The 9,989-nt window shown below is 41.2% G+C and overlaps 1 pseudogene across 1 annotated transcript; it reads right to left on the bottom strand.

The window, feature by feature from the left end:
- Positions 1-2,307: 2,307 nt before the first annotated feature.
- Positions 2,308-6,429, bottom strand: OR8G3 (olfactory receptor family 8 subfamily G member 3 (gene/pseudogene); annotated as a pseudogene). Its single transcript, NR_172910.1, has 3 exons — positions 6,266-6,429; positions 3,476-3,564; positions 2,308-3,398 (listed from the first exon to the last, which is right to left on the bottom strand). The product of NR_172910.1 is annotated as an olfactory receptor family 8 subfamily G member 3 (gene/pseudogene) (transcript).

Raw genomic sequence — 9,989 nt, 5'->3', positions numbered from 1 at the left:
AACAACATGGATGAAACTGGAGGTCATTATGTTAAGTGAAATAAGCCAGGCACAGACAGAGAAATTTCACATGTTCTCACACATGGGAGCTAAAAGTTAAAACAATTGAACTCATGGAGATAGAGAGTAGAAGAATGGTTACCAGAGGCTGTGAAGGGTAGTAGGTGGGGTCAGATGGGGGGGCAGGGTTGGGAAAATGGGGAGGGTTAGTGGGTACACATAATAGAAAGAATGGAAAAGACCTGGTATTTGCTAGCACAATAGGGTTACTATAGTCAAAAATAATTTAATTGTATATTTAAAAATAACTAAAAGGGTATAATTGGATTATAACACAAAGGATAAATGCTTGAGGTGATAGATAAACCATTTACTCTGATGTGATTATTATGTATTGCAAGCTTGTTTCAAAATATCTCATGCAACCCATAAATATATACACCTATTATGTACCCACAAAAATTGAAACTTGAAATTAAAAAAAATAAGGAGTGGTGTCTTACAGTGACCCAGGGTGGTTCATGAACTACTTCAGCTTACTCTTCTATCTTTGTGCCTTGATTATAGTACCCTGAATATGACATGCTTTTTCCCTCTTCCTTGATAAAGCTACTGCCTTTTAAGTAGCCTATATTTTGTGTATGAGCTCAAGCCATATTGATTCAAGTGTCTACCCAACAGTGCTTTTTGGTTTGTCCTCTTTTAGCCTATTGGTATATATGACAGTCTGTTGGACAGAGTGCTAGACTGGGAATCATGCCTAAGACAAGAGTTATAGTTGTAGCCATTTTCCCTTACTTTATATAAATGATGAAAATTAAGTGAAATAATAAATGCAATGGGTCCTTGAGAACAAATCTCTTACTGCATTGAATGGATGGATAATGAAATATAAGAATGATAAAGACATATTGTACTAGTTGTTCCTATATTAGGAAATTATAGTGAACACCAAAACTTGTTATATTAGTTGAATAACACGGAACAGCATCAAAAAATATTGATCTGACAATAGCGAGTAGGTAATTTAAATTGGGGAGAGACACAGGCAATCGAGTAATTAGAATATCGTGGATATTCACAGTTACAGGATGTTAAATGCCCAGAAGCAGAAAAGTAATAACATGAGGGCAGAGAAGAGATTTTTTTAAGGAAAATTTGACATAAAATGGCACCTGTTTATAAATTATGATACCAAAGAGTGTGAACCACATGGAAGCAATGCAACTTAGTAGAATTTTCAGCTGCCCCAGTGATCTGCCTCATAAAGAGCCATAGTGTTATTGGTATGACGATAAAACAATGTGTGTTTTTTATAAATTGTTGATATGAAGTATAATAATATAAGTATCTACAATGCATCTCTATAATAAGACTAGAATAATTTTCTGGTTTTGCTTTGTTTTTCGTAGATCATTACAAATTTGAAAGATTTTGGTTATGTTCATTATGATAAATGAAATAAAAGTGAAACTGTCATGAAGCTGTCCAGAGGACAGTGACACAATCATGTAGGGAACATGTCATAGGGAACGGGGGAAGCTTGATTTGCAGACAGAAATTCTCTAGAGTCCTTAGACCTACTCACAATTACCTGGACCAAGTACCACTTTGAATAATGTCAAAAGTCCTTGAGCCAACCTTTCCAGTCTCAATGTCATATTATGGTTGGAACCCTGAGCAGTCACTCAAATAAATGTTTAATTTTTTTCATATTTAAAAGCATAATAATACTAAGACTTTCCCTGAAGTAATACTGTAAATGTTAAATAGAGTGACCCATTTAGCTGGGTGCTTGATATTTCATAAACTTTCAATAATATATGTTATTACTATCATTCTCATTACCATCATCATCATTGCTGTTGTTGTTGAGGTTGCTGTCTATATTATAATTAAAAGATAAAACTAGGGGCTGAGAGTAGTGGCTCAAACCGGTAATCCCAACACTTTGGGAGGCCGAGGCAGGCAGATCACTGAATGTCAGGAGTTCGAGACCAGCCTAGCCAATATGGTGAAACCCTGTCTCTACTAAAAATTTAAAAATTAGCCAGGCATGGTGGCACACGCCTGTAATCTCAGCTACTCAGGAGGCTGAGGCAAAAGAATTTCTTGAACTTGGGAGGCGGAGGCTGCAGTGAGCCAAGGTCGAACCACTGCACTCCAGCCTAGGTGACAGAGCTAGACTCCATCTCAATAATAATAATAAATAAAACTAGGGATACTTTAAACCTCAAAAGTCTTTTGATTTTATTCTTTGTATTTCTTTACATATGCTCATTGGAATATAAGTTCGATGGAAGCAGACCGGAGGAATATTTTGGAGAGGTGTTACATAAAAGAGCATCACTAAATTTTCATAAATCTCAACAATAAATCCAATAAGTTAGATATCTAATCAAACCAAAGACCTATCTTGATGTAACAACATAACATTGATTCTATTCATTAACATGCTGTCTGATGCAGAATTTTCTTCACGGCAAGTTTGACATCTTTATTCCTCAGGCTGTAGATCAGGGGGTTCAGCATGGGCACAATAGTAGTATAAAACACAGACGACACTTTCCTCTGGTCCATGGAGCTGACAGATGATGGCTGCAGGTACATGAATGCTGCAGATCCAAAGAAAACAGCAACAGCCAAGATGTGGGAGCTGCAAGTGCTAAAGGCTTTGGACCTGCCCTCAGTGGAGTGAATGCGGAGGATGCTGGCAATGATAAAGATGTAAGAAGCAAGGATGGTTAAGGCAGGCATCAGGATGTTAAATGCACTCAAGACCAGAACCAGTAATTCATTGATGTAGGTGCTGGAGCAGGAGAGCCCCAAGAGAGGGAAAAGATCACAAAAATAATGGTTAATCACATTAGTCTTGCACAAAAAGAGTCTCAACATAAAACTGGTATGAATTGTAGATCCAAGGATGCCTAAAATGTAAACTCCCACTGTGAGCCAGAAGCAGTGGTGATAGGACATGATGACATTGTACAGCAAGGGGCTGCAGATGGCAACATAACAGTCATACGCCATTGCAGCCAACATGTGACACTCTGCAATAGCAAAAATACTGAATAAATAGAGCTGAGCCATGCATTCAGGGTAGGAGATGATGTTCTTCTCTGTCGCAAAGTTCACCAGCATCTTAGGGGTAATGACAGTGGAATGGCAGAAGTCAATGAAGGACAGACTGCTGAGGAAATAGTACATAGGTGTGTGCAGGTGAGAACTGAGCCCAATCAGTGTGATCATGCCCAAGTTGCCCACCACTGTGACCACACAGATTCCTAAGAACAGGAGGAAGAGGCGCAGCTGGAGCTCTGGCTGTTCTGAGAGCCCAGCCAGAATGGACTCAGTCACTGAGGAATGGTTTCCAGGGTCCACGATCTTGTCAACAGTCTCTAAGTTTTAAAAAGAGAAATTGAATGTGTTTGTGTGTGAGAGAGAAATTATTTGTAAATCATTGCATATTCTATACCTTATCAGAGGAGAAACAGAATGCAGTGGTCTCCTGAGCCTCTCTTGCTACTGTTTAATAGACAATAGTCTGGTCGACCAGAGGAGGAACTGCAGACATCAAAAACATTAAAATTTAGTTCATATCCTTTTAAGAGAAAACACCAATTTTTGACCTCAATAAGAAAGCAAGCTACTAATGTTATTTCAGAGGATTCTTTTCTTTCCTACCATATTCTCTAGGATATAAATACGTCATGCACATCAAATAGCATAGCCATGAGATTTTCATTTTACTCAGATTAGGAAAGAGAACCAAATGCTCCTTATAATGTATCAATATAGAAGTCCTGGCCGGGCGCAGTGGCTCATGCCTGTAATCCCAGCACTTTGGGAAGCTGAGGTGGGAGGATCACTTGTTTGAGACAAGCCTGGGCAACAAAGCAAGACCTCATATCTATCTATCTATCTATCTATCTATCTAATCTATCTATCTAATCTATCTAAAAATAGAAGGCATGAGTTTATAAAATTAGTTATATTAGTCTGAGTTACTTTTCTTATGAGAATTTCAACTAAAAATAGCTGAAGAACTGGGTAATGACCTGTCTCATTCTGCCCGAAATTTCAGCTCTTTATTTCTCAACTTTCTTCACCCAGACCTGCTATTCTGCAAGGCAAAAACATAACTGCGTGGCTGATAGCATCCTTATACCTCAGGAGCTTTTCCAACAGTGAGGGAATTGCCTCTCTTGTTCTAATTTGAATAATCCCAAGGGAGTAATACAATGGTCTCAATGCAGGTCACCTATTATCCCATTCTGGCCAGGGGAGCAGAAAACTATGATTGGTCTACATTAAGTGTACTTCGTGGCTGAATTGGAGAAGATCAGAAAAGTACTCATATTCTCCAAAACCGAGAAGGCTTTCTGAAAACAAACATTAGATATCTTCTATACTGATCACTTTTTATAATCATATATTTTGCCTGTGCTCACTATAAAATTTAAAGATAATGGCTATGTGGATTAGTAGAGCACATGCAAAATACAATTCACAATCTTAGTCTAAATATAAAACTAGTCAACAGTGTGATGTGGATTTTCAAAAAAGGCTAATACATATTTACTTTTGCAAAGAAAATTAGTAGATTCTAGATGAAAGAAATTTATGGTCTTATGTAACACTCCAGCAATAGCTGGATTAGTGTTTTCAGTTTAGGGTTTAATATTTTATGTGGAATATAGAAAAACTGGACAATATCAGAAACATGATCTAAAAATATTGTCATTTGAATAATGACTGACATAACTGAGGTTTTAGCTAGCACAATATAAATATATGTGGCACATGGCATTTATATCCAAATGTTCAAAATATCTAAGAGGTATAGGGCTCCTTGTATATGTCTCTAAGAGAGAAAAAATAAAAACTAAGTGCTTCAAATGATGGAGAGAAATATTTGGTTTCACAACAAAAAAGAACATTCCAAAAGTCAAACACACCTTAATTTACTTATAGCCAGAAATGTCAGAGTCAGCTTGTATAACCATTTAGCAGACATTATTCAAGGACACAGCATGAGATGGGTGCTTGAATTCAATCAGCTTTAATATATCTTCTGGTTCCAATATTTCATGATTTAAAATTCTAATGGGCTATGATATTAGATCAGGCAGTCTGGGTTAAAATATCATCTCAACCATATACATGCTGTGTGATCTTGAGAAAATTACTTCTCGTCTTCAGGCCTCTAAAAAGTAGAAATGTTAATATCATTCTCATGTAAAAATCAAAAGACGCATAGTTCCCATCTGTTGGTAAGAACTTAATAAATGTCAGTGTTATTTTAACTGTAATCTATTGAGCCTTCTCTGAAATATTTTTTATTTGCTCAAATTTTTATTCCAATAATGATGGCTGAAGGTTTTTTCCCTCCCTCAGCATATCTTGTTTTTGCTCCTTCCTACATGGATACACATATTAACACAGAGATTCAGAATTATTTTTTTTACTGAACAGTAACCTCTTTAAATCAGCACTATTTTTCATTTCCTCATAGGAAGCTCAAATCAATATCTCTTATTCAAAGATTGTTATCATCTGGCAACCAAAATAAAAGTTTTCTTCTTTTATGTCCCAACAAGTACTATATGATTTGGCTATTACATGATTTGGCCATTTGGTACTCTCTCAGTTTTAACTCATGATGCCCCTTTAATTTTTCTCTTTGTCTATCATCTGTAGCCTATGACATCCTATTTAATAGTTAAGGCTCTTTAGTTAAGGGCTTTAATAGTGCAAACTCTACTTAATAAGGCCATTTAATAGTGCAAACTCTACTTAATAAGGCCATTTTCTATGTCCATACATATATTTCTTATGTTTACATGTAACACTAATTTCATTCTATGTTATTATTATTTATTTATTTGCTTTTCTTCTGTACTAGACTATAAATTCAATATAGTGCTTGGTGTAGTGCCTTGCATATAGCAACTCAATACATATATGTTCAATAAAATTGCTCAAAGAAGCTTAGAGATATGTAAATATGGATTCAAAATAACTGAATAAAAACCCTCTTACTGCCTGAATTGAAATGAGTAAACACAGAAGTGTTTGTCATAAATGTATATTGCAGAGAACAAGTAGATGACAAGGGAACCACTGCTCATCAAGGCATGTGAATGTGAGAATAAGGACAGGGAGAGACAGATGAATAGCTGTGTGCATCTCTCTTTGCACTGCGAAAGAAGCTGGAACAGGAGACTCCAAGATTTTAAAGTCAAAGACTGGGACTCATACATACCCATCCTTTCTGCCAGGGTCCAGGGTTGTACATTTTTCTTCTCCATTGCTCTGGAGGGAAAAATGAATCTGATGGTACGAGGAGGTCATAGCCCAAAAGTCTCCTTGGCAATTATTTTGAGTCATTCATCCTGATCTCTGACAAAGCTGATGCCTAAAGCCATCTGGCACTCTGCAAAGGGTGGCTGATGTGAGGATTTTATATGCTGGGTAAGAGTAAGAGTCTGATAGGGAACAAACAATGATAATGATCTCCCTCTAGATTCTATTCCCACAAATGTCAGCTCTTGGGAAAAGAAACAATTAGAATTTCCCTTTCCCCCTCTTGGTTCTCAAGTGTTTCCCTATTGGCATATGTTGTGATTCATTGTTCTTGTAATATTACAGATTGGAAATGAGGATGTGAGAGACTTTGTTGGAGCTCTAGTGAGTTTCATCTCTTTAGTGAGACAATGAAAAGTTCAAAATTTCAGCCAATTTTTAAAACATACATTAAAGGAATTGTCTAAAGTGATTTGTCACAAGGGGAAAATAGAAAATCAGAAATAACAACAAATGTTTCTAAAATTTGAAAGTTTTCATTTTCATTTACCTCTACTAATGATATTTTGATATCATGATGTATTCATAAAACAGTAATGCTTGAAATGTTTTAACTTGAGGGCTGTTTCCTTTCAGATCAATGAAGAAGAAAATGCTTTCATTCAGTCCCCAAGTTAAAATATGATAGATATTGCCAAGACCCTGAGGAGTTCCTAGTAAGCCTAACAAGGAGAGTTGATGACTTTTTTCATCAAAAAATAAGAATGATATTGAGGAACAATAAAGACATATGTGTTACAGAAGTTATTTTTGTACTTATATAAAACTAAATTATTTTGGAAGTAAAATTATATTTCATGTTTTGTTAAACGTTATATTGATGGCAAAAGTAGGCCATCCAGAACCGCCGCTACCATGGTGCCAGCTGCAGTGGGGAGGCCAGCGGTTGTGGCAGGAGAGGCTGCAGGGGCAGCAATAACGGTGGTGGGACCCCTGTCCCCCATGTCTCCAAGGCAGGCAACTGAGCCACCCCCACCTTTGCATGACCAGGTAAGACCCACCCCTAGGCCTAGAGACTCTGTGGCTCCTGACCCTGGCCCCATGTCACCACTCTTGCCTGCCACTGCTGTGGGGAGGGGCTGGGGAGGAGGCAGACAGTCTCTGGACCCCGCCCCTGGAAGCCACCTGGAGCCTGTCATGGTGGGGACCACCACGAAGGGGCTGGGCCGAGTTTCCTGGTGGGGGAGCAGCACGGTTGGGCATGGAGGCCTGGCAGAGATGGCCCCGAGGCAGAGCTGGGCCCAGCATGGTGCTGTGGTTGGAGATGGAGTGTGGAGGATGGGCCAGAGGTAACATCTGCTTTGGGGACCTGGCCAGTGGCATGGCCACCATGCCCACCTTGCTGATGGTGCCAGGTTCCTGTGCCCTGAGAAAAGGCTCTGCACTGGGGGTTGAGTCTCAGGGGTCTGCCCTGCATCTGGACAACCACCAAGCCTGACACTCCTGACCTCTAGTCCCAGGACCTGAAATCGGCTCCTAGAGGTGCCCCTGAGGCAGGGTCACAAGCTGACCAAGTGGGAGCCCTGGGCCACCCCTGAGCACCAGGGCCATGGGAAGAACTTATGTTGATGTCACTCCTGCCCTGGATGCCAGCCCAGGCCCAGCAAGGACTTGGAGCCCCTGCCCCAGGCTTAAAGGAGGCGTGGCTGGGGCTGCATGCTGCAGGGCCAAGGATAAGCAGGAGTCCGGCCCCTTCCAAGCTGGCAGGGTGGGAACTCCCTGGGTGCAGCTGCAGCCATCCTGCCATGTCTGCTGTGGCTGCAGGCCCAGGCATCTCTGCAGACTTGGGGGCCTGGGAAGGCTCCCCTGGCCCTCGGTGGGATGAGGGTGCCTGCTCCCTCTGCCTGGCTTCTCTCTGCTGTTGGTGCCAGCTCTGAGTCAGGACCAAGCCCGGGCATTGTTGTAGCCCAGCCGGGGGTGCACATGCTCAGGCAGGCTCCTGGGCAGAAGGTGGCGGGTCCTTGGTGAAGCCCTACCTCCAAGCTGGAGAGGGCCTGAAGCTTGGGGATGGGGTCACCAGTCCCACAGACCAGAGGGGGAACTTATGGTGCTTTTCCCTACGGCGACTCATGGACTAATCAGTACACGTTTTCTCCCCTCTGAGGCCCATAAAAACCCCAGAGTCGGCCAAACTGGAGCAGAGGATGGAGAGACAAAGGGAGATGATGAGATGACCAGCTGCAGAGAGGAGCTGACCACCCCAGGGTTTCCTGTCTGCTGAGAACCAAGGAGATGATAGGACGACCAGCTGCAGGGAGAAACTACCCTCTCTGCTAAGAGCTGGGCACTTGACGGGATGACCTGCCTAGCAGAGAGGAGATACCCTCTCTGCTGAGAGCTGAAGAGATGACTGGGTGACCACCTGCAGAGAGGAACTACCCTCTCTGCTGAGAGCTTGACACTCATTGGGAAACCCTGCTATGGAGAGGAGCTGCCCATTGCAGGTCTCCTCTGAGCTGTTCTATTGTGCGATAAAGCTCCTCTGTGTCTTGCTTACCTTCCACTTGTCTGCGTGCCTTATTCTTTCTGGTCTCAGGACGAGAACCTGGGACCCACTGAATGGCAAGGCTAAAAGAGCTGCAACAGAAATAGGGCTGAAACATGCCCCTTGCTCACCATGTTGTGGGTGAACAGGAGAGAAGAGCTGCGGCCCTTTGGGGATCCCAGACCTGGGAGCTCCCCGAGACAGCACTGTGACTTCTTCTTTGGGGCCCTGCAGTTCCTGGTGTCTCCAAGCTTTTAGGTGCCACCACATTCCCCGGTGCCAGCTGAGGAAGCTGCTTGCAGTGCACCTAGTCCAGCTGCAGCCTTGCAGAGAGTGTCAGCACCTGGAGCTGCCCATCCCGCAACAGCAGCTGGTGTGTCTGATGTAAGCAATGGCCAGACCCCATGCTCACTCACACACCCCCCACTATTCCACGCCTGACGCACAGTCTCCCTTGAAGGTGTGAGACCCAGGCCGGTAGTGGGGGCCTTGCCATAAATATATGTCAAAATACACAAAATGTATTTAGCAATATTTATTGCTGTCAATCTCTTCCACTAAGTATTATCTCCTTATGGGTAGAAACTGTTTTATTACCCATCATATGCCTCCATATTCCCTAATATATTTCTACATGCTTAGTAAGAATTAGTGATTGAATCTGGTATTCAAAATGGTTGCAATTATTTATTTTGGAGATCACACTTTGAGAAGTGTTTACCTATACACTTAGTAGAAAAACCCAGGTACACAGGTATTGAGAATATCATGGGGACTGACAAGATATATTTATTCCTTAAAGTAAGGTAAATAAGTCTTGCCTTAAAAAGTGCCATATTCCATACTTATAAAGTATAATCACACACGGAGGCTTATGAATTTTTTTTAAATGTTTAGAAGTGATACGTGTTACTCTGAGTGGATGAACTCTGTGGCATCCCATAAATGCTCCCAACATGTAACTGATCCTATGAATTCAGCCTTATCCTTGGCATCTTTCTTCCAAATAACCAAGTAGTAGCAGCCATCTCATTACTTGTGGACATACCTTACTGTCTCTAGATTGTTTCCTTATCAAACCTTTTCCAGAAATTAAAAGTTTTTGCTAAAGCAAAATACCCCCCTTCATAGGAAACTT

Source organism: Homo sapiens, chromosome 11, assembly GCF_000001405.40.
Source record: "Homo sapiens chromosome 11, GRCh38.p14 Primary Assembly".
NCBI lineage: Eukaryota > Metazoa > Chordata > Mammalia > Primates > Hominidae > Homo > Homo sapiens.
The sequence above is the reverse complement of the archived record's forward strand: the minus strand, read 5'-3'. Positions and strand labels throughout refer to the sequence as shown.